This window comes from Homo sapiens, chromosome X (assembly GCF_000001405.40).
Source record: "Homo sapiens chromosome X, GRCh38.p14 Primary Assembly".
NCBI lineage: Eukaryota > Metazoa > Chordata > Mammalia > Primates > Hominidae > Homo > Homo sapiens.
Window position 1 is genome coordinate 92,574,303 of NC_000023.11, and position 25,516 is coordinate 92,599,818.

The 25,516-nt window shown below is 36.5% G+C and overlaps 1 protein-coding gene across 13 annotated transcripts in view, besides 3 other annotated features; it reads left to right on the forward strand.

The window, feature by feature from the left end:
- The window catches only part of PCDH11X (protocadherin 11 X-linked), an 843,856-nt gene that overhangs the window by 794,928 nt on the left and 23,412 nt on the right, over positions 1-25,516 (forward strand). The gene's annotated exons all lie outside the window — the stretch shown is intronic.
- Positions 15,107-15,807: an enhancer, noted in NCBI's record as "OCT4-NANOG-H3K27ac-H3K4me1 hESC enhancer chrX:91844408-91845108 (GRCh37/hg19 assembly coordinates)". NCBI's record gives its function as "activates a minimal SCP1, AML or CMV promoter by ChIP-STARR-seq in naive and primed H9 embryonic stem cells {active_cell/tissue: H9 hESC(naive and primed)}" and the evidence as "EXISTENCE:reporter gene assay evidence [ECO:0000049][PMID:30033119]".
- Positions 15,808-16,508: an enhancer, noted in NCBI's record as "OCT4-NANOG-H3K27ac-H3K4me1 hESC enhancer chrX:91845109-91845809 (GRCh37/hg19 assembly coordinates)". NCBI's record gives its function as "activates a minimal SCP1, AML or CMV promoter by ChIP-STARR-seq in naive and primed H9 embryonic stem cells {active_cell/tissue: H9 hESC(naive and primed)}" and the evidence as "EXISTENCE:reporter gene assay evidence [ECO:0000049][PMID:30033119]".
- Positions 16,509-17,209: an enhancer, noted in NCBI's record as "OCT4-NANOG-H3K27ac-H3K4me1 hESC enhancer chrX:91845810-91846510 (GRCh37/hg19 assembly coordinates)". NCBI's record gives its function as "activates a minimal SCP1, AML or CMV promoter by ChIP-STARR-seq in naive and primed H9 embryonic stem cells {active_cell/tissue: H9 hESC(naive and primed)}" and the evidence as "EXISTENCE:reporter gene assay evidence [ECO:0000049][PMID:30033119]".

A 25,516-nucleotide genomic window follows, 5' to 3' on the forward strand; every position in this document is an offset into this window, starting at 1 on the left:
ATAGTTACATTTTCTTTATATAAAAGATGTTCACTCTGATAATTTATGTTCAATTTATCAAGACCAACAAATGTGAAATACCTTCTTTATGTCGTATTAGCTCAGCTTGATAATACCCAAGTGCTAAGTTAATTACCGTAGTTATTAGAGTTTCATGGAGTAGAAACATGAAAATCCTTAGCCACAATTTAAATCACATTTTTAGGATGCTTATATATCTCCCAATACATGAAGAGAATATTTAGAAGACAGGAGAGCAATAATTCATTTTTTCAAAATAATATAATAAACCCGTCAGTTAATTTTCAATTATTGAAATGCCCTTCAAGTATTTTTAATATTGTCATCTAGTGGAATTAATTTAATTGTTGTTTCCTCATATCGAGTGCACAGGCATGAAGTGATTAGACTTACTAATTACTGGGCTAAGTAGTTGTTTATGTGATTTCAGTTATTGCACATACATTTACAAAAATTTGTTTTTGACAGGTAGTCAACTATATTAGATGTTTTGAGAGGTAGATGTTCTGCATTTGAAGATTACAAAAAATACTGTGTGTTTGGTTGGTAGTTTTTTTCACTTAACCCTTAGAAGTTTGGTTCAGCAGGCTAACATGAATACTTCAAAACTGAAAACATTTTGGAAAAAATGTCTCAAACATACGGTAATGCTATTATATGACTGTAAAAGTGCGCTGCTTTTGGTATTTTAGATAAGTTAAATATTCCAGAATGCTTAAAATATAAGAAAAACAAGTATGCCGTTTTTCATCACTTCATTCTATTTGGTTTGCTATATTATTTTATTTGAAATCAATCATACTATACATATATAGTTACTTAAATTTGGGCATATGCATGTACGTGTAAGATAATTTTATGAGTACATTATGTATGTAAATAAACAAATGCATAGTTTGAATATATCATGGATAATTTAATTATTTCATCTATGCCAATCTAGTATTACAGGCTATGTTTTATTTCTATTTTGTTATTAATTAAATTACACACTATTTAAATATTTTAACACCTTTCAGGATTTGTTTTTAATTTTTAATAATTTTTATATGGTGAAAATTTACTAATTTAAATTTTAAAAATTTAATAATTTTTATATGGTGAAAAATTATTATAAATTATTGAAAATAAGGTGATGTGCAAAAATAGACTTTGTGGTCTTTTTCACTTTTGTCTTTTACCTTAGGCTACAATTGACTTTATAAAATAATATATTATCATAGGTTCATTAGTAAAGTGTGAGCTTATTATTCAAAAGACTGTTGTCTACTATTATGTTTGTGTAGACTTATGACTGAAATGACTGATTGTATAACTATAGATTAAATTCAATTGTTACCATATTTACTTACTAACTCAACTTCCTCATTCTTCCCAAATTCCAACAAATATATTTTCAGAACACAATGAATCCAATTAGCTACACAGGTAAACTATACCAGTCTTTGGGGTCTGATCTGTTTTGTTGTTCCTTAACTTGACTCATCATTTCAACATATTGAAGCTTGTGACTCCTAGTATCATGCACTGACAAAAACTAGTTGGTCTTCCTAGAACGGAATTTTGTAGGTTACCTGGTGTGTATATATATATATATATATATATATATATATATATATATACACACACACACACACACACACACACCTGGGGTGTATATATATATATATATATATATATATATATATACACACACACACACACACACACACACAGGTGCTATATATACATATATATAGGTGCTCCAGGGTTGGGTTCATGTATATTTAAAATCATTACATCCTCTTGCTGAATTGACCACTTCGTCATTATGCAGCGACTTTCTTTGTCTCTTATAGTTTTTGTCTTGATACCTATCTTGTCTTATATAACTGTTCTGCTCTTTTTTTTGATTTTCATTGGCAGGTATATTTTTGGCAGATATATTTTTCTATCCCCTTATTTCCTGGCTATGTGCCTTCATAGGTGTGTTTCTTTATAAGTGTGTTTCTTTTAGACAACAGATCAATGAGTCTTTTTTTTTTTCAATCCATTAAGCCATTCTATGTCTTTTCATTGGAGAGTTTAGTAAATTTACATACAATGTTATTATTGATAAGTAAAGACTTGCTCCTGCTGTTTTGTTATTAGTTTTCTTGTGGATTTGTGGCTTTTTCTTTCTTTTTGCTTTCCTGTATTTTGTTTATTGAAGGTGATTTTCTCTGGTGACACAAATTAGTTTCTTGTTTTTAACTTTTTGTGTATTCTTTGTATGCTTTTGGTTTGAAATTACCACGAGGCTTGTAAATATCATCCTATAAGTGATTATTTCAAGCTGATAATAACTTAACACTGTTTGCATAAACAAAAAAAGCACACAAAAAGAAAAGTAATAAAAACAATGCCTTAATTTTGTTTGCCTGTTTTTTTACTTTCTGTTGTTTCTATTTATATCTTATTGTACTGTCTATGTCTTGAAAGTTGTTGTAGTTATTATTTTTTATTGCTTCATCATTTAGTTTTTTACTTAGGAAAACAGTAGTTTATATTCTACAGTTACAGTGTTATAATATTGTTTTATCTGTGTAATTACTACTAGTAGTAAATTTTATACTTTCAGGTGATTACTTAAGGCTTATTATCTTTCTTTTCTTTCTGACTGAAATATTTCCTGTAGCATTTCTTGCAGGGCAGTTCTGGTATTTATTATATTCTTTAGCTTTTGTTTTGTTTTCGTTGGATGATGTTGGTCTCATAGAATTAGTTGGGGAGTTGTCCCTCCTTTTCCATGGTTTGGAATAGTTTCAGAAAAAGTAGTAGCAGTTCTCCTTTGTACCTCTGGTAGAATTCAGCTGTAAATCCATCTGCTCCTAGACTTTTTTTGGTTGGTAGGTTATTTGTTACTTTCTCAATTGTAGAACTCATTATTGGTCCATTCAGAGATTCAACTTTTTTCTGGTTCAGGCTTGGGAGGGTGCATGTGTCCAGAAATTTATCAGTTTCTTCTAGATTTTTCTAGTTTATGTGCATAGAGGTGTTTATAGTATTCTCTGATGGTTGTTTGTATTTCTGTGGAGTCAGTGGTGGTATCCCCCTTATCATTTCTGAATATGTTCATTTGAATATTCTATTTTCTTCTTTATTAGTCTAGCTAGTGGTTTCTCTATTTTATTAATTTTTTTCAAAAAACCAGCTCCAAGATTAGTTGAGTTTTTGAAGAGATTTTTTTTTTTCTATCTTTTTCAGGTCCACTCTGATCTTAGTTATTTCTTGTCTTCTGCTAACTTTGGGGTTTGTTTGCTTTTGGTTCTCTAGTTCTTTCAGTTGTGATATTAGAATGTCAACTTGAGATCTTTCTAGTCAATGTGGGCATTTAGTGCTGTGAAATGTTCTCTTAACATTGCTTTACCTATGTCCCAGGGATTCTGGTACGTTATCTTTGTTCTCATTAGTTTCAAATAACTTAATTTCTGTCTTAATCTTCTTATTTACCCAGGAGTCATTCAAAAGCAGGTTGTTCAATTTCCATGTAGTTGTATAGTTTTGAGTGAGTTTCTTAATTTTGAGTTCTAATTTGATTGTGCTGTGGTCTGAGAGATTGTTTATTATAATTTCAGTTCCTTTGTACTTGCTGAGGAGTATTTTACTTCCAATTATGTGATCAGTTTTATAGTAAGTGCCATGTGGCAAAGAATGCATATTCTGTTGTTTTTGGGTAAAGAGCTCTGTAGATATTTATCAGGTCCACTTGATCCGGAGCTGAGATCAAGCCCTGAAAATTTTTGTTAATATTCTGTCTCAAAGATTGATCTAATATTGTCAGTGGGGTGTTAAAGTCTCCCACTAGAGTTGAACAATGAGAACACATGGACACAGGGAGGGGAACATCACACACTGAGGTCTATTGGGGGATGGGGGGCTAGGGGAGGGATAGCATTAGGAGAAATACCTAATGGAGATGATGAGTTGATGGGTGCAGCAAACCACCAAGACACGTGTATACCTATGTAACAAACCTGCACGTTCTGCACATGTATCCCAGAACTTAATGTATAATAAAAATAAATAAATAGATCTCTCACTATTATTGTGTGGGAGTCTAAGTCTCTTTGGAGGTCTCTAATAATTTGTTTTATGAATCTGGGTGCTCTTGGATAACTAGCTCTTCTTGTTGATTTGAAGCCTTTACCATTAGTAATGCCCTTCTTTGTCTTTTTTGATTACTGTTTGTTTAAATAATCTTTTTTTCAGAAACTAGGATTGCAACCCCTGCTTTTTTCTGCTTTCTATTTGCTTGGTAATTTTTTCTCTATCCCTTTATTTTGAGCCTATGTATGTCTTTGCATGTGAGATGGTTCTCTTGAATACAGCACTCTGGTGGGTCTTGACTCTATCCACCTTGCCATTTTGTGTCTTTTAATTGGGGGATTTAGCCCATTTACATTTAAGTTTAATATGGTTATGTATGAATTGGATCCTGTCATCATGATGCTAGCTAGTTATTTTATAGACTTGTTAATGTAGTTGCTTCATAGTTTCATTGGTCTGTGTACTTCAGTGTGTTTTTGTAGTGGATCATAATGGTGCTTCCTTTCCATATTTAGTGCTTCTTTCAGTAGCTCTTGCAAGGGAGACCTAATGGTGATGAATTCCCTCAGCAATTGCTTGTCTGAAAAGTATTTTATTTCTCCTTCACTTATGAAGCTTAGTTAGGCCAGATAAGAAATTCCGGGTTGGCAATTCTTTCTTTAAGAATGTTGAATATTGGCTCCCAATCTTTTCTGGCTTGTAGAGTTATCACTGAGAGGTCCTCTGCTAGTCTGATGGTCTTCCCTTTATAGGTGACCTGGCCTTTCTCATGGGCTGTCCTTAATATTTTTTTCCTTCACTTCCACTTTGGGGAACTGATGATTATGTGTCTTGGGTTTGATCTTCTCATGGAGTATCTTACTGGGGTTCTCCGGATTTCCTGAATTTGAATGTTGGCCTGTCTTGCTAGGTTGGGGAAGTTCTTCTGGATGATATCTTGAAGTATGTTTTTCAACTTGATTCCATTTCCCTCCTCTCTTTCAGGCACCCCAATCAGTTTTAGGTTTGGTCTTTTTACATAATTTGATAGTTCTCAGAGGTTTTATTCATTCCTTTTTATTCTTTATTTCTCTAATCTTGTCTGCCTGTCTAATTTTGGCAAGATAATCTTCAAACTCTATATCTTTTCTTCTGTTTGGTCTATCCAGCTATTGCTACTTGTGGTTGAATTGTGAAGTTCTTGTGTTTTTCAGCTCCATCGGGTCATTTGTTTTTCTCTCTAAACTGGTTATTCTGCATAACAGCTCCTGGAATGTTTTATCGTGGTTCTTAGCTTCTTTGCATTGAATTGGAACATACGTCTTTAGCTCAGCAAATTTCATTATTACCTACCTTCTGAAACCTACTTCTGTCAATTCAGCCATCTCAGCCTCAGTCCAGTTCTGAGTGCTTGCTAAAGAGATGTTGTGATAATTTGGAGAGGAGGCACTGTGGCTTTTTGAGTTTTCAGCATTTTTGCATTGATTCTTTCTCATCTCCATGAGCTTATCTACCTCGGATCTTAGAGGCTGCTGAACTTTGGATGGAGTTTTTGTGGGGTCTTTTGTTGATGTTGCTGCTTTCTGTTTGCTTGCTTTTCTTTTAACAGTCAAGCTCCTCTTCTGTAGGGCTGTTGCGATTGCTGGGGGTCCACTCCAGACCCTATTCACCTGGGACACTCCCACACCTGGAGGTGTCACCAGTGGAGGCTGCAGAACAGCAAAGATGGCTGCCTGCTCCTTCCTCTGGGAGCTTTGTCCCAGAGGGGCACTGAACTTATGCCAGCTAGAATGCTCCTATATAAGGTGTCTGGTGACCCCTGTTGGAGCATCTCATACAGTCAAAGGGCATGGGATCAGGGACTCACTCAACAAAGTACCCTGGATGCCCCTTGGCCGAGTAGGTGTTCTACACTGGGGAGGATCCCCCTCATCCGGACTGCCTGGACTTCCCAGAGCCAGCAGGCAGGAAAAACTAAGTCTGCTGATCCATGGAGACTGTGGCTGCCCATCTCATCAGGGGCTCTGTCTCAGGGATATCAGAGTTCTATCTGTAAACTGGCTGGAGGTGCTGAAATTTCGACAATGAGGCCCGACTCAGTGAAGAGGGATGGATCCTAGTCCCATCTAAAGAAGTAGTCAGGCCATGATCTGCCACAGCCACTGTGCGGTGCTGTGGAGAATTTCTTCCGGTCCAAGCAGCCCAGTCTCCCTCTCACAGGCCGGGAAAAAAAAGCCTACTGAAGCTGCAGTGATGGCAGTTGGCCCTCCCCCTGGGATCTCAGTCATTTAGGCACTCTCCAACCTGCTGCCACTGGCCACAACCCAAGTGGCTGCCGAGAGTCTGCACAGCTCTGTGCTTGGGACCCAAGGCCCTGGTAGCCTGGGCTCATGAAGGGATCTCCTGATCAGCGGGTTGCATAGATCCATGGAAAAAGTATGATTTCCCGAGTTCGGTAACACAATCACTCACTGCCTCTCTTGGGTGGAGGTGGGAGCTCCCCTTGCCCCGTGTGGCTCCTGGGTGGGCCATTGCTCAACCCTGCTTTTCCTCACTCTCTGTGGGTCATGCCAACAACCTAGTCAGTCCCAGTGAGAGAACCTGGATACTTCAGTTGAAGGTGCAGGATTCACTCACTGAGTTCATTTTTCTTGGTGAGAGCTGCTGACCACCGTTTCTTCTAATCAGCAATCTTGACTTCTCCTCCATAGTAGGATTTTTTAACATGTTTCATTTTGCAATTGATAGAATAAATAGAGAAAAAAATCTGTAAGAAATAGTGGGTCTAAACAATACCGTCAACCACATTGACCTACTTGGATACTTATACATAGACAAACACTATATCCCAAAACTATAGAATATGCACCTTTTTTTAAGTGCACATGGTACATTAACCAAGGTAGACCATTGATATGTTTTGGCTGTGTCCCCACCCAAATCTTATCTTGAATTGTAGCTCCCATAATTCCCACATGTTGTAGGAGTGACCCAGTGTAGGATAATTGAGTAACGGGGATAGCTTTTGCCCATACTGCTCTCATGCTAGTGAATAAGTCTCACGAGATCTGATGGTTTTATAAGGGGAAACCTCTTTCCCTTGGCCCTCATTCTCTCTTGCCTATTGCCATGTAAAACATGCCTTTTGCTTCCACCATGATTGTGAGGCCTCCCCAGCCACGTGAACTGTGAGTCCATTAAACCTCTTTTTCTTTATAAATTACCCAGTCTCGGGCATGTCTTTATCAGCAGTGTGAAAACGAACTAATACAGTAAATTGGTACTGAGAGTGGGGTGCTGCTGTAAAAATGCTTGCAAACGTGGGACATGACTTTGGTATTAAGTAACAGGCAGAGATTGGAACAGTTTGGAGGGCTCTGAAGCAGATAGAAAAATGTGGGAATGTTTAGAACTTCCTAGAGACCTGATGAATGGCTTCTAACAAAATGCTGACAGTAATATGGACAATAAAGTCCAGGCTCAGGTGGTCTCAGATGGAGATGAGGAACTTGTTGAACACTGGAGTAAAGGTGACTCTTGCTATGTTTTAGCAAAGAGACTGGTGGCATTTTGCCCCTGCCCTAGAGATTTGTGTAACTTTGAAATTGAGGGAGATAATTTAGGGTATCTGGCAGAAGAAATTTCTAAGCAGCAAAGCATTCAAAAGGTGACTTCAGTGCTGTTAAAAACATTCAGTTTTAAAAGGGAAACAGAGAATAAAAGTTCAGAAAATTTGCAGCCTGATGATTGATAGAAAAGAAAAATCCATTTTCTGAGGAGAAATTCAAGCCGGCTTCAGAAATCTGCATAAGTAACCAGGAGCCAAATGTTAATCCCCAAGACAACAGGGAAAATGTCTCCAAAGCATTTTAGAGACATTTGATCACAGACCTAAAAGCCTAGAAAAAAAAAAAAAAATAGGTTTGTGGTCCCGGCCCAGGGTCCCCCTGTTATGCACAGGCTAGGGACTTGGTTCTCTGTGTCCCAGCTGCTCTAGCCATCGCTAAAAGGGACCAAGATACAGCTTTGGCCATGGCTTCAGAAGGTGCAAGCCCCAAGCCTTGGCAGCTTCCACGTGGTGTTGAGCCTGTGAGTGCACAGAAGTCAAGAATTGAGGTTTTGGAACCTCCACCTAGATTTCAGAGTGTGTATGGAAATGCCTAGATGTCCAGGTAGAAGTTTGCTTCAGGAGCAGGGTCCTCATTGAGAACCTCTGCTAGAGCAGTGCAGAAAGAAAATGTGGGGTTGAAGCCCCCACACAAAGTCCCCACTGAGGCAGTGCCTAGTGGAGCTATAAGAAGAGGATCACCATCCTCCAGGCCCCATAATAGTACATCCACCAATAGCTTGCACCATGCACCTGGAAAGCCACAGACACTCAACACCAGCCCATGAAAGCATCCAGGAGGGAGGCTGTACCCTGCAAAGCCACAGGGGTGGAGCTGACCAAGATTATGGGAACTCACCTCTTGCATTAGCGTGACCTGGATGTGAGACATGGAGTCAAAGGAGATCATTTTGATGCTTTAAGATTTCACTGCCCCACTGGATTCTGGAATTGCATGGGGCCTGTAGTCCCTTTGTTTTGGCCAATGTCTTCCATTTGGAATGAGTGTATTTATCCAATGCCTATACTCCTGTTGTATCTAGGAAATAGCAAACTTCCTTCTGATTTTACAGTCTCATAGGTGGAAGGGACTTGCCTTATCTCAGATCAGACTTTGGACTGTGGATTTTTTTTTTTTTTTAGATGGATTCTCTCTCTGTCGCCCAGGCTGGAGTGCAGTGGTGTGATCTCGGCTCACTGCAACCTCCGCCTCCCAGGTTCAAGCGATTCTCCTGCCTCAGCCTCCTGAGTAGCTGGGATTACAGGCATGCACCACCATGCCTGGCTAATTTTGTGTATTTTTAGTAGAGATGGGGTTTCTCCATGTTGGTCAGGCTAGTCTCGAACTCCCAACCTTAGATGATCTTCCTGCCTTGGCCTCCCAAAGTTCTGGGATTACAGGCATGAGCCACTGCACCTGGCCTTGGACTGTGGACTTTTAAGTTAATGCTAAAATGAGTTAAGACTTTGGGGAACTGTTGGGAAGGCATGATTGGTTTTGAAATGTGAAGACATGAAATTTGGGAGGGGCAGGGGAGAAACGATATGGTTTGGCTCTGTGTTCCCACCAAATCTCATCTTGAATTGTAGCTCCCATAATTCCCACGTTATGGGAGGGACTCAGTTGGAGACAATTGAATCATGGTGGCAGTTTCCCCCATACTATTCTCATGGTAGTGAATAAGTCTCACAAGATCTGATGGTTTTAAAAGGGGAAACCTCTTTTGCTTGGCCTTCATTCTCTCTTGCCTGCTTCAGTGTAAGATTTGCCTTTCACTTTTTGACATGATTGTGAGGCCTCCTCAGCCACGTGGAACTGTAAGTTTATTAAACCTCTTTTTCTTTATAAATTACTGAGTCTTGGGTATGTCTTTATCAGCAGCATGAAAATGCACTATTACAACTATTTTCTAGGTTATTAAAAAACTTATTGAATTCAAATGAATTGAAAGCACACAGAATATGTTTATTTATGTTAATGGAATTAAAATATAAATAATAAGCTATCTTGGAAAAATCACAATATTTGGAAATTAAACAATATACTTTGATGAGACAATGATGAAATAAATAAAAAAGTAAGAAAATATTTTAAATGGAATTGTAATAAAAATAAAATATATCAAAATTTATGGGATGCAACTAACTAAAACAGTGTCCAGAGTAAATATTAAAACTTTAAATAATTATATTAGTGATGAGGGGAAATCTAAAATTAGTGTTGTAAGATTTTACATTAAGAAGCTGGAAAAATAAGTGCAAAATAAACCCAAAGCAAGGATAAAGAAATTATGAATTTCTCAACAATATAGAAAACAAATATTTAAGAAAATTAACAAGCCAAATGTTCATCTTTTGAAATATTTAATAAAATTTGATATACCCTCAGCTAGACTGATCAAAAAATATATGAAAGCAAAAATCACCATTATCAGTAATAAAAGAGAGTATCTTCTCAGATCCTACAGATGGTGAAAAGATCATCAGAAAATAATTATGAACAACTTTTTCCCAAAGAAATTAAACAATTTAGAAGAGATAGACACATTTATTGAAAGGCAGGAGCTACCAAATCTCTCTCAAAAGGAAGATACATAATCGAAATAGTTCTGTGTTTATTAAAGGGATTAACTTTGTTGTTAAAAATATTCCCCTAAAGAAAACTCCAGTTCTAGATGGCTTCTCAGGTGAAGTTTGGCAAATATTTATGAAAGAAAGGATAACAATTCTACATAAGTTGTTTTCAAAAAATACAAGTGGAAAGTAATCATGACAACTCATTTTTAAGGCCAGCATTATTCTCTTTTTTTCCTTTTTTTTTTTTTTTTTTTTTGAGACGGAATTTTGCTCTTGTTGCCCAGGCTGAAGTGTAATGGCACAATCAGGGCTCACCACAATCTCTGCCTCGGGGGTACAAGTGATTCTCCTGCCTCTGCTTCCAGAGTAGCTGGGATTACAGGCGTGTGCCATCATGCCCAGCTAATTTGTATTTTTAGTAGAGACAGGGTTTCTCCATGTTGGTTATACAGTCCCACGGGCTGTACAGGATGCAGGATGCTGGCATCTGCTGGGTTTCTGGGTAGACCTCAGAAAGCTTACAATCATGGCAGAAGGCAAAGTGCAGTCAGCACTGTACATAACTGGAGCAGGAAAGGGGGGTGCTACACACTTTTAAACAAGCAGATCTCACTCACTATCAAAAGAACAGCATCAAGAGGATGGTTTAGCATTCATGAAGGATTCATCCCCGTAATCCGATCACCTCCCACCAGGCCCCCTGCCTCCAACACCGGGGATTACAATTCCACGTGAGATTTGGGCAGGGTCACAGATCCAAACCATATTAATTGTCCTTTCCAAATTCAAAAGCCAAATGTAAATAGTGCTTTCTTTTTCTTTTTTTTTTTTTTTTGGGACAGAGTCTCGCTCTGTCGCCCAGGCTGGAGTGCAGCGGTGCTATCTCGGCTCACTGCAAGCTCCGCCTCCCGGGTTCATGCCATTCTCCTGCCTCAGCCTCCCGAGTAGCTGGGACTACAGTGCCCACCACCAAGCCTAGCTAATTTTTTGTATTTTTGGTAGAGACGGGGTTTCACTGTGTTAGCCAGGATGGTCTCGATCTCCTGACCTCATGATCCACCCGCCTCGGCCTCCCAAAGTGCTGGGATTACAGGCGTGAGCCACCGCGCCCAGCCAAATAGTGCTTTCTGAAGAATACTTTGAATCACTAAACCCAAAGCATGAGAACATTTTGCATCAAATGTGATATCAAAGTTGAGTGCATTATTTCAATAATACCCATAATATCATAAAATATAAAATGATGAATTAAAAGTTTGGCTTTTCTGTACATTCTATTTTAACTTTGGATAGCTTTGGGTGTTTAAAAATACTTTACAGTTACATGATAAAGAATAGTATGTAACATAATATTCAATAATATTATTCATGGGTTATTTTTAGTTGCTAAGGTAATTCAGAGGCTTTTAAAAAATAACAGGACTTAATTGCAATATTCATCAAATACTACTTCTAAAGAAGAAAAATAGACTTTCTACTGCCTATTGCTGACTGAACCACTGTAAGGTGGTCATTACACTCATTTTACTGATGTGGCAATAAACTGATAATACAAAAAAATGCTACACTTACTGGTTAATTAGAAATCCTACAGCAAATTAAAGTCACTTGTCATTGTTTAATGGTTGTTGATATCATGAGCTCTGTATTGCTGTACAGGCAGCATTTTAAAAAACAAAGAATATTTTTGTGCCACTGAGGACAGTTTGTTTCATTGACCGAGAATTGTGTTTTTTTCAACATTTTATTCTAATTGCAATCCTAAACTAGTAATAACAATTTGTTTAAACCTGATCTTTGTTAAACTAGGTAACCTATTTAATTTAGACTTCAAATTATATAAGAGTAAGACTATGGAAACTTGAATAATTTAACCTAAAATACAATTATGGAACTATGGATTGATTAATGGTCTGGTGTAGAATAAACATACTTTATTAACATAAAGTATAGCTGTATTTATACCTATAAAGTAGCAACATTTAATGATACTTTCTTAGAAAGTCCCCACACTCACCAAGTTCTTGTCTGCCTACCTATGTAGGTTCCAAATTACTAACTTGGTGATGATCGCTTAATTAAATTGGTGTCCAGCAAATTCCAGTAGATATTGTAGAAATATTAGGTGAAAATGGGATTACTCATCTTATGGTATTTTTTCCTAGTGTATCCTTTGGCTGCTCTGGTTAGTTCACATGAATAGATTGAAGTTATCAGTCTTCACAGATTATCCCCAACAATACAGAACTTAGTCACAGAAGTCTCTAATAAAAAGTTAAAATCTTGATTGAATATTTCAAATAACTCAGCTATGCATTTGTACCACATTTAACTAAACACTGATGTGTCAGACCATTAGATGAGTCATATATTTCTCATTTATTGTTTTGAAACGACCAAATGATGAACTCTACACAGAAGCCTTTTTTTTTTTTTTTTTTTTGCCTGAAATTAGCATGTCGGTTACAACCTGATACGGCCCTAAAACACAATATTGACAGTCTTCAGTGGGGCAATTGGGAAGCTGCTGAAAGTGCAAGAGATCAAAAAGAGAGATCAAAAGCAATTTTACAGCATCTTATTTCTTTTCATGAGAGTTCAGCTTAGAACATTAATCAAATAGTGTGTATAAGACCTTTATCATATGAAATTTGCTATCAGAGATTAACAGATACATTAAATGGAACAGTTTGACTGGAAATATTTGTATAATGAACATTCAATTCTGCTTCGGCATGACATTAAGAAAAACGTCTTTAAAATATATATTTGCTCTCAAATTGATAGCGATTAGAAAATAATAAGGAGCATCAGCAGAGTGCATTTAATCATGTCTGTGAACTTGATATCTGAATTTTGAAAGACTGGGATTTTCTCTATTACTTAAAACATATTCTACATCATCCAATTAAAAATGTGATTTAATAGATAGTTCTCAAAAGTAATCTAAAGGTTAAAAACATATAAGCATTTAGAAAGTAGAAAAATATTTGTCCAAATGAATTTAATATCATAAGAGCAAATTTTCCTTCTGAGCCGAAACAGATGAATTATGCTCTGACAGTGATCTTTATTGAATTGTGCTAAAATATATTTCGATATACTGTAATTTTTTCTGACTTCTTCTCAGTAAATGCAGATGGCAACAGTTCACTTGTAAATGGTTTCGAAGAAGAGATATTGAAGTAATATTCTCTGAAATCTATTCTTTGCAGATAGCTATTTCTATTACTCTGCTGTATATTCCATCTTCTCAGTGTACTCCATTGATGTGTGTGTTGCCAGAATTTTTGTCCATCATTTAAATAATAATCTCATTTCAAGTTTCCTTTTCATCATGATAAAATGATCAACTATATGACTGCATCACAATTTTCCTAGGGAAGAATTACTGTGATATTCACAGAGTAGTTTGCTACTGTGTGAGAGGCTAATATATTTCTCTAGGAAGAATATTCAATTCATAAAAATTAAATGTTATTAATGAGTTACAGAAGCCCTCAGAGAATGTTGTTTAAAGTATAATTAAATTGAACCTCGCTAATTCACAATGCATGTTATTTTGAACCTGCATTGAGTTAATTTGTGATGGTCCCATACTTTCTTCTTGAAAAATAGTTTTTAAGATAATTAAATGGGGTTGGTATTTAAGAAAGACTGTACAGTGTACTAAAAAATATATATTTAAAATAATATTTTAGCAACATTCATTCACATCGAAATCCTGAAAATGTTTATTACACTTCTGTCCTTTGTGCATTGTTTAAAATTGATTTACTAGTGGTTGGTGGATTTTCATATACTTGTGTGTGTGTGTGTATATATATATATATATATGGATGTACATATATATGTTTGTGTGTGTATATGTGTATATATATACATATAATTTAACAAAGAGCTTGAAATAATTAAAAGGAATCAAGCAGAAATTTTGGAGTTGAAAAATACAATTGTCATACTAAGAAAGCATTAGTCTTTTAATAATAGAATTGATCAAATAGAAGAGAGAATTAGTGAGCCTGAAGTCAGACTGTATGAAAATACACAGAGAAGAAAGAATAAAGAATAAATAATAAAAACCAATAAAACACGCCTACAGGATTTAGAAAATAGCCTCAAAAGAGCACATGTAAGGGGTATTGGCCTTAAAGAAGAGGTAGAGAAAATGATGAGGGTAGAAAGTTTATTCAAGGGGATACTATTGAATAACAGAGAACTTCCCAAACTTAGAGAAATATATCAATATCCAAGTATAAGAAGGCTGTCGAACACCAAGCAGATTTAACACAAAGAAGACGACCTCAAGGCATTTAATAATGAAATTTCCAGTGGTCAAGGACTAAAAAAAGATCCTAAAAGCACCACAGGGAAAAAGAAAATACAACGGAGCTCAAATACATCTAGAAGCAGACTTTTCAGTGAAAACCCTACAGGCCAGGATAGACTGGTAAGACAAATTTGAAGTGCTAACAGGAAACAAAACAAAACAACCAACAACAACAACAAAGAAAACCCTTCTACCCTAGAATAGTATGTCTGGTTAAAAATATTCTTCAAACATGAAGGAGAAATAAAGACTTTTGTAAACAAACAGAAGCTGACATATTTCATTAACACCAGACCTCTCCTACAAAAAATGCTAGAGGGTGTACTTGAATCAGAAAGAAAATATTAATAAGAAATCATTTGAAGGTACAAAACTGACTAGGAATAGTAAATGCACAGAAAACCGGCATATTATAACATTGTAACTGTGGTGTGTAATCTACTTTTAAGTAGAAAGACAAAATGATAAACCTATCAAAAATAATAATTTAGCAACTTTTCAAGACATAAACAGTACAATAACATATAAATATTAACAACAAAAATTTGAAAAGCAGGGGACAAAGTTAAAGCATATAATCTTTATTAGTTTACTTTTTGCTTGTTTGTTTATGCAAGTACTGTTAAGTTTTTACCACCTTAAAAAATGAGGTATAAGATAGTATTCGCAAGCCTCATGGTAATCTCAAACCGAAAAACATACAATGGATACACAAAAAATAGAAAGCAAAAAGCTAAATCATATCATCAGGGAAAATCACCTTCATTAAAATGAATGAAGCTGCCTTTCTAAAAATTGTATCAGTGAGACAATTACAAAAGTGAACAAGATCTGAGCTAATCTACCCCCCCATCTTACCTTTCCCTTAATTATTCCTGGGCTATTAGTACAAGGTAACTTTGAGAGACATTTAGTCTGTTGTTTAAATGATAATAGGTCTTACCCAAAACTCAACGAGGCTTTTGTAAAGCTAATGGGAGGCCATCAGTCTAGGCTGAGGAGAGGAGCCGAGTCCTGCTGAGGCGCAGACATGAAAGATTTTCAGCCATTAATCTGAAGATTATAAGATCTGCAGCTTCCTCAATTATTCCTACGATAACACCACTATTGTAGATTGGCCTTTTAAGATATATTTTTCTTTTTTTTTTTGCATATCTGACACCCATGGCTCCACCTGGACCAACCAACCCCACCCAATTTATCCTGCAAGAGGACAGCTATGACCCTCTATGATTTCGTTTCCACCCCAAGCAATCAGCAATGAGCACTCATTACCTGGCCACCCCCACCCCTTTCCCCAAACTGCCTTTGAAAAACACCTAACTGACGAGCTTTGGATGAGATGATTTGAGTATAAACTCTGACTCCCACATGGGGTGGCTGGCATCATGTCTATTAAACTCTTTCCTGCAATGGCATGGTCTTTCTTTATGCAGCAGGCAGGAAGAAACTCTTGGGAAGTTATAAATTTGGGGGCTCATCTGGGATCCCCTGACCACAGTTTGTTAGTCCCCCCACCAGAATGAGGAACACAGAGGTGATCTCTGGCAGCTGCTTATTTAACTGAAGGCTATCTCTGGTGCTGTCTCTGCTGATGAGGTGCTGTTGACCCACAGGGCTTGGGCCTAATTGCAGTGGAGAAATAGTCTGGAACCTACCTGGTGAACATGCTAGGCACTACCATCACCTCCACCCTTCCCCTGATCTATTGGCCTTACTAAGATGCACTGTAGCCCTGTCACAGGGACTGGCCCTATCACAGGGATTTTCAGATGGGGGAACTATCTCCTCAGTTGGGTGAAGAATATGGGACTGTTTGAAGGAATGCTCCTCTGGTCTGGAATCGGTTTGGAAGGCCTTCTGTTCATCTTTGTTGTGTGTGTTTGTATTTGTGGATGGTATCTCTGAAGAAATTGCTGATGAAAGTCCAGCAGGCTTAACTCAGAGAAGCCTCCTTATTTGTCTGGTCACATTTGGTAAGCCCTGAAGCAATTGTTAGTGGAAGGTCAACAGGCCTGACTAGGGGTGATTATCCCCTCTTCAAATTGCCCTACACTACCCATTGAATTCTCAGTCAGAGGTCCCTCCTCACTTTGAATGGATCAAAGAAAACAGGGAGCAAAGGAAATTGGTCAATATTGGGTGTTCAGCAAGGTGACTAATGTCTGTTTTGTTATGTGTATTTTGTGACAGCTGGGATGGAAAATGTTAATTTGGTTCCCCCAATGAGGTTTCCCCATGCAGCCCATCGGGTGGCATCTTGCAAAATTAAGAGGCTTTTGCCTAAGGCTCCATGAAATGGAAAAAGGTGATTTTCCTTTGTGACTATAGTGCAGTGAGCAGGGTCGCCAGGGCCCCAAGGGAAAGGGAACTTGGAAAACTGGCATGCCAGCAAAAGAAATAGAATGAATTTCTTACCAATCAGTCTTCTGGCTCCTCTCTCTCTTTGTGCAAACCAGTTGAGTGATCTGTAAAAATCACTGTTTATTAATGAGAAAAAGGATTTGTGAGGCAAGTCTGAGACTGTAGTGAATCTGGTGTACCTTGCACTATGAATTAGTCTTTCTATGCCATTCTGTCATAAAGAGGGGTACCGCAGAATAGAATGTGTATTTAGGACCCCTATCAGCTTGCTACTCAAGCCAGCCCTGCAGGTTGGTCAGTTACAAACTATGCTACAGATCCCTGGAGCAAAAACTAGATAAAGGTTTCTTCTTGTCTTGCTTTACGTCCTTGAGAGCATGACTTTATGACTATGTGGGGTACTCTCTTTTGGGCCTGTATCATCTGGAGGGCTGGAATATTTGAGTTTATGTCAGGTAGCCAGTCTGAGAGGACAAGCGGTCTGAGATGAATCAGCATGTTCTTCATCCTGAATATGCCAAGCCCCTGGGTGAGCTTTGTCTTAAAAGGCCTCATCTTTGTTGGGATTTTATCATCTTTTGCTATCTTAAGCCCATTTCTGAGAGTAAATTCTTGGGAATCATGGGGATCATGGGGATTATGGAGATGTCTCCTCTACTCTCTTTCTGGAAACACCTTTTGCTGATATGGTAAAAGCCTGGAAATTTGAGATCTAGACTTTACCAGACTTTTTGAATTGAGTCGCTATTGGAACTGAGGATACCATTAAAAGAAAAAGGTTAAATTAAAAGAAGGATCCATAATAATAACATGGTTCCTGAGCAGTTAAAATCCTTTGCAAGCTTGAAAATGTTCAAGACTCCCTCAGGGAAGAATAACAGCAGTCACCTTTGCTCTGGGTCAGTTGCTAACTCTTTACCCTCTCCAATTGGTGGCCTGGGTTCAGTTTTGGCTTTGGAGTGAGTCCTTTGAGGTTTAATACTTGTAGAAATTTTGCCATTTATTGATATTTTTTCCCTCCATGGAGAGCTTCTGGTCTTGAATTTTCTTTTATCTGAACTACCTTTGGGGAGATTCTAGATCTTGTAAAAATCACTTACCATTTCTTTGGAGACGCCTCGTGTGCCTGTTGCTAAGCTGTCCCCTTAGTAATGGCTTACTGATTTCACATAGGAGGTTCCCTTTAGTAAAAAAGATTCAAGGCCAGGCGCACTGGCTCACGCCTGTAATCCCAGCACTTTGGGAGGCTGAGTTGGTCAGATCACCAGGTCAGGAGATCGAGACCATCCTGGCTAACATGGTGAAACCCCATCTCTACTAAAAATACAAAAAATTAGCAGGGCTTTGTGGCATGCACCTGTAGTCCCAGGTATTGGGGAGGCTGAGGCAGGAGAATCGCTTGAACCGGGGAAGCGGAGGTTGCAGTGAGCCGAGATCGCATCACTGCACTCCAGCCTGGGTGACAGAGCAAGACTCCGTCTCAGAAAACAACAACAACAAAAGATTCAAATGCCAGAAATATTGGCTATTTATCCTGGCTAAAATAAAATATTTTAAAAGGATTTTTCGTTGGAGAGCTCCATAGATAATGGAGCTATATGCATGCAGATGTTGTTTTAAAGTCCCTGCCCTGCCTCTAAACACTTCTCAGTTGATGGAACTCTGTCTTGATTCTCTGTTTCTGTCTGTGTGTGTATCTACATGTATGTATGTAGTGTTTATTTAAAAGAGCTCTAATGAATTGGCTTAATGAATAATAAGCGCTTAGATCAAATTTCAGAAAGAAACTTTAACATGTTTTAGGTCATGTGACTGATAATCTTTGAAAAATAAAGACAGTTAAAAGATTACTGGTAAACTAAAATAAAAATGTTTTTAAAGTTTATACATTTGGTGTAAATTAGGCAGGTCAGATATGGTTTGCTAGATGCTTTAAGGTAATAAACGGCTTCTATGACTTTTAATAATTGTTGATTTGTCTGTTTTACAGTCATTAGATTCTAAATAAGGTCTGGAGACATATAGAGTTAGCCAGATTCCCTGGCTAGGCTGGGAAGAGTCAGACATTGTCTGCAGCTTTGTCTTTGTCATGGGCTCTGCAATGTTATACGTGGTTAAAATTGCTTGCTTACCAGGTTTTTTACCAAAACTAAAAGTTGCTAAGGGTTAACAGCATAGCATGTACTTGAGACTACTGGAAAAACAATTTTACATGCATGTTGTGAAAGGAAAGTAGAATTTGTTTTTGGTAAGAGGTTATAAGAAGGCATGGGAATTTTTGTTGTTGTTGTTAAAGGGCATGTAATTTTGTCTAGCTCAGAAGTTTAAAAAAAAACTTTCTTAAAAGAGTAATGGGACAAAACAAAGTTGAAGCAAGTTGCAAAGGGTTTGTGAAGGATTGATCTTGTAAATGAAGTTCTGTGGGTGTTAACAAATGGCTAAAATTTGAAGGAGATCATCTAGTTTTTCTGTAGGTTAAACATTAAAATAAAGTACACTAATGCTGGGCAAGAATCTGTGCCCATGTGTCTGAATAACATGTTTTTCTTAGAGAATGGACCTGCTGTTTAAGAGAAAATTGTAAAGAGTTATAAGAGGTTTCTGAAAATTTTACCTCATGGTCAAACTGATTAAGATGGTATAGATTTGTTTGTAAGATTTTATTAATAATTGGGTTTAACATCTATAAGACATGAATGCAAAGGTGAGATTTTGTGCTCTCTTTTAAACAATATTTTAGTGTATTATGAAAATATTATAAAAGATTTTTGTATGCCTTTTGAATAAACGACAGAAATTAGAGGGGGGAGAGAGAAGACATCCAGTTGTTTTCAAGCTGTCTTTATTGAGTCCTGTTTGGAAAGCTGAATCTCCCCTCTATCAGCAAGTAAAGAATTTTGCTTTTAAAATTTTCTTTAGTTATCCTTTTGGGCTAAATAAATGACTTACAGTTACTTGGGATTTGTTTTGTAATATCAAGTGTTTAAACATTTGATATTTGACAAACTTTCCATGGTCAAATTCTAAATTAAGCCCTTTTTTGATCTAATCAGCCTTTAGGAGCAGATATTAAATACTCTAAAGTCCAAAAGAGATATATTTGGCTTATTTGGTATATCAAAATCATACAGGAAGCATTGTCAAGTAGAAAATTGTGTTTGGCTTTCTTTTTTGGGCTGTATTTGCATAAATGTGTTATTGGTGTGTGTTCCAGAATTGTGTGAGATTCTTGTAATTCTGATATGTCTCAGTATATGTTTTTAGTAATAATTATGATTGTTATGTTATTATGTGCCACAGAGATGACCAGACTTTAATCATGGCTGTTTTGAGACTTTTTTCAGCCACAGTTGTTTTATTTTGATTTTTTTCAAGTTGGTTTTATAATCAGCTATAGGACTCTGACAGGTGCACTTGAATGCAGGTTTGTGATAACTTTGGAGATTGTGACATTAAAATAGAAGAAAGAACTTCCAAGACTCCCATAGGGAGCTAATGTGTATGAATATCAAGCAGAACAGGAATTAATTACATAGACTGAATTAATGAAAAACCAAAATAATCTTCCTACGAATTTGTTTAAAACATTGCTATTTTTTTTGTTTGTTTGTTTTGGAGTCCAGCAAACCTTTTTTTTTTCTTTTGAGATATCTACAGCTTTAAATAATTTGGCAAAGTACCCTCCTGTGAGCAAAATCTGAAGCATATTTCTCTCTCCCTGATTTCTCCAGAACTTGAAAACTATTTCCAAGTGTACTTAATTTATGACAGGTATAATTATTTGCATAAGTTCGATAAGAATCTTTTTTCTTTTGTAACAGGAAAAAATTGGAGACACTGGTTATTTTACCATGGCATTGAATGAAATGGCATACTTTTAGATTCTTTTAAGGAGTCAAAGTTGACTTATAGAGCCAATAAAAGTCCCTTGGGAAAACTGACCTCATAACTTGTCTACACAGTCCCTGTTTAGGAGTCCTGCCATGTGGTAAGTAAAGAATGTCACTTCCTGACAGGCCCAAAAAGCCCAAATTATCTTGGCACCTTGAGGTGAGAAATTCACCCAATTAATACAGTTATTTGTAAGCATAGATAAATCTGTGGCTACACTTAAAGGCTTTAAAAAAGTTTAATCTGAGATTTCCTATGGAATAAAATTCCAGCAATGCGAATTTAAAAAGGGACTGTGTGGTAAATAATTATTCTTGCTGACTTTATGCAAATACTCAGGCCAAGTATAGTAAGACTAAAACTTATTTTACAAATAAAGTAGTCTTGCTGTGATTTGTTTTTAGTAAAAACAAGGATTGGAGAGAGAAAAATTATATTTCAGAAAAAACTATAGTACACCTCTTATTACATTCTAGTCCCCTATTTTGAGTTTTTATAATTTTCTGCAACTTGGAATGAATACTAAATTCTTTCCAGACTACAAGTCTCCATACTAATGCTTTCAAAGTTTTGTTTCCTTTTTCTTTTTTGACTTGGCCTCAATAAAATTGTCACTACCTCTTTCCTGAGGCCCTGTAAGTTAAAGCTTATTGCTTGTAATACAGGAGAGAGAAAAATGTGTCAGATTGTTACTACTGTCCTCCTCTATACCTAAAGATGCTTTAAATCTAACACCTGGATAAATTGTACCCAACATTAACCTTTGTTTTTCTTCTGTCTCTATAAAACTGCCTCTTATTAAAATTAGTTTGCCTTCATAAAATAGAGAGGTCTAGCCAATCTGAAGTGCTACCTCCTCATGTGGGAAACAGCTGTTTGACTGAGCTGATCTAGTCTCAGGACTTAGACACTGACTCAAAAGACATTCAACTATACCAAAGATGGTATATTTAATTTGCTCTTTCCTGTTTATCCCCATCTGTCTTTCTAACAACCTATGGTTTGTTGTTCACTTAAGTGCTGTATTAGAACTGTGGGTGAGAATATTAATGTTTTTGTCATACACCAGTGAGTACGCGCAGATGGCTGCAAAGCAGCGGTTTTACTCATATTCTCCTGGGACCAACCTCCCCCAATTGTACCACCTGTCAGCAGGAAGAAGCCAGAGTAGTCATTGCTGTTTTTCCATCTCTGTGACCAACATCTTAAGAATAAGGTGAATAAAAGCCAAAGGGGGATTGAAACAACCTTTGCAAAAAATATATCAGTGAGAAAATTTTGACTATGAGGAACTATATGCCAAAAAATTGGAAAATCTGTAAGAAATGGATAAATTTCTGGGCAAATGCCACCTACCAAGATTAAACCATGAAGAACTCTAAAACCTGAACAAACCAATAACAAAAAATGAGATCAAAACTGTAATAAAAATTCTCCCAGGATATAAAAGCCCAAGACCTGATGGCTTCACTACTGAATTGTACCAGAAATTTAAAGAACTAAATCCAAGCCTGCTCAAACTATCCCTAAAAATAGAGGATGAGAAAATACTTCCAAACTCATTCTACGAATCTAATATTAGCATGATAACAAAGCCAGTCAAAGACATGTTAAAGTAAAAGAAAACAACAGGCCCCAATGTCTCTGATGAATATTGATGTAAAAACCTTAACAAAAAATTAGCAAACTGAATTAAACAATACACTAAAAAGATTATTTATCATGACCAAGAAGTCTTTATTCCTATTACACAAGGATGGTTCAGCATAAGCAAATCAATCATATCAATAGAATGAAAGAAAAAAAACTATGATTATTTCAATTGAAGTCAAAATAATTACATTCAATACCCCTTAATGAGAAAAACTCTGAAAAACTGAACACACTACAACATAATAAAAGCCATATATGACAGACCCACAGCTAGTATATCACGCTGAATAGTAAAATAATAAAAGCCTTTCCTCTAAGATTTGCAACGTGACAAGGATGCCCATTTTCACCACTGTTATTCAATATAATACTGGAATTCCTAGCTAGAGCAATCAGACAAGAGAAATACATAAAGTACATTTAAATTGGAAAGGAAGAAGTCAAATTATCTTTTTTTGCTGATGACATAATTCCATATTGGGAAAAAACTAAAGAGTGCAAAAAAACCATTAGAACTGATAAAAAAAATTAGTAAACTTGCACGATATGAAATAAAAATACAATAATCAGTAGCATTTCTATATCCCAACAGTGAATAAACTGAAATTGAAATTAAAAAGTAGTCAAATTAATAATAGCCACACATAAAACTAAATACCTAAGAATTAACATAACCAAAGAAGTAAAAGATCGCTATAATAAAAAACTATAAAACACTGACGAAAAAAATTTCAGAGAACACCAAAAAAGGTAAAATATTCCATGTTCATGAATTAGAAAAATTAATATTTTTTTAAATGTCCATATTACACAAAGCCACTACAGATTTAATGTAATCCCTATCAAAATACCAATGGCATTCTTTATAGCAATAGAAAAAAGAATCCTAAAATTCATATGGGACCACAAAAGACCCAGAATAGCCACAGTTATCTTAGGCAAAAAGAACAAAACCGGAGGAATTATATTACCTGCCTTCAAATTATGTTACAGAGCTATAGTAACCAAACAGCATAAACCTGACATAAAAACAGACACATAGACCAAAGGAACAGAATCGAGAACCTACAAACAAATCCAAACACGTACAGTGAACTCATTTTCTCCAAAAATGCTGAGAACATACACTGGGGAAAAGACAGTCTCTTCAATAAATAGTGCTGGGAAAACTGGATATTCACATGCTGAAGAATGAGACTAGATCCCTATCTCTCACCATATACAAAAATTAAATCTAAATGGATTAAAGACTTAAATCTAAGACCTCAAACTGTGAAACCATTAAAAGAAAACTATTAAAAGGAAACATTTGAAAAATGCTCAACATCAATCCAGGCAAAGTTTTCTGTAATACCCCACAAGAACAGGCAACGAAAGCAAAAATGTACAAATGGAATCATATCCAGTTAAGAAGCTTCTGCACAGCAAATAAAACAATCAACAAAGTGAAGAGACAACCCACAGAATGGAAGAAAATATTTGCAAATTACCCCCCAGACAAGGTTTTAACAAGCAGAACATTTAAGGAGCTCAGCTCAAACAACTGTATTAAAAAAAAGAAAAAAACACTAATAATTTAATCAAAAAATGGACACAAAATGTGAATATACATTTCTCAAAAGATGACATGCAAATGGCAAGCAGGCATATGAAAGTGTGCACAATATCATTGATTATCAGATAAATGCAAATAAAAACTACAATGAGATATCATCTCGCCCCAGTTAAAATGGCTTTTATCTAAAAGACAGGGAATAACAAAAACTGGAGAGGGTGTGGAGAAAAGGGAACCGCCATGCACTATTTGTGGGAATGTAAATTAGTACAACCACTATAGAGAACAGTTTGGAGGGTCCTCACAAAACTAAAAATAGAGCTACTATATGATTCAACAATTCTACTGCTTGGTATATACCCCAAAGTACAGAAATTGGATATCTCCACCCCTTTTTTGACAACTCTGTTCACAATAGACAAGATTTGGAAACAACCTAGGTGTTCCTCAACAGATAAATGGATAAAGAAAATATAAAATTTATACACAATGTAGTACTATTCATTCACATAAAAAATGAGATTCAGTCATTTGCAACAACATGGATAGAACTGGAGGTTATCATATTAAGTGAAATAAGCCAAGCACAATAAGATCAGCATTGCATGTTCTCAATTATTTGTGAGATCTAAAAATTAAAACAATTGAACTCATGGAGATAGAGTGTAGGATATGATTACCAGAGGCTGGGAAGCATAGTAGAGAAAGTGAGTGGGTGGCAGGGATGGTTAATCATTCCAAAAAGTAGTTAGAATAAATGGATAATGCCTAATATTTGATAGTAAAACAGGATGACTATAGTCAATAATAATTTAACTGTACATTAAAAAATAACTAAAAGAATATAATTAGATTGTTTATAACATGAAGGATAAATGCTTGAGGGGATGGATAACCCATATTTCATGGTGTGATTGTTACACTTTGCACACCTGTATCAAAACATCTTATGTGCTCTGATATGGCTTGGCTGTGTCCACACCCAAGTCTCATCTTGAATTGTAGCTCCCATAATCCCCATGTGTTGTGGGAGGGACCCAGTGGAGATAATTACATCATGGTGGCAGGTTTTTCTTGTGCTGTTTTTATGGTAGTAAATAAGTCTCAAGAGATCTGATGGTTTTCTAAAGGGCAGTTCCCCTGCACATGCTCTCTTGCCTGCCGCCATGTAAGGCATGCCTTTTTTCTTCTGCCATGATTGTGAGGCCTTCCCAGCCATGTGGAACTGTGAGTTCATTAAACTTCTTTTTCTTTTTAAATTACCCAGTTTTGGGTATTTCTTCATAGCAGTAAGAAAATGGACTAATACAGCAAATTGGTACCAGGATTAGGGCGCTGTTATTATATTAAGATACCCGAAAATGTGGAAGTGACTTTGGAACTGGGTAACAGGCAGAGATTGGAACAGTTTGTAGGGCTCAGAAGACAGGAAGATGTGGGAAAGTTTGGACGTTCCTGGAGACTTGTTGAA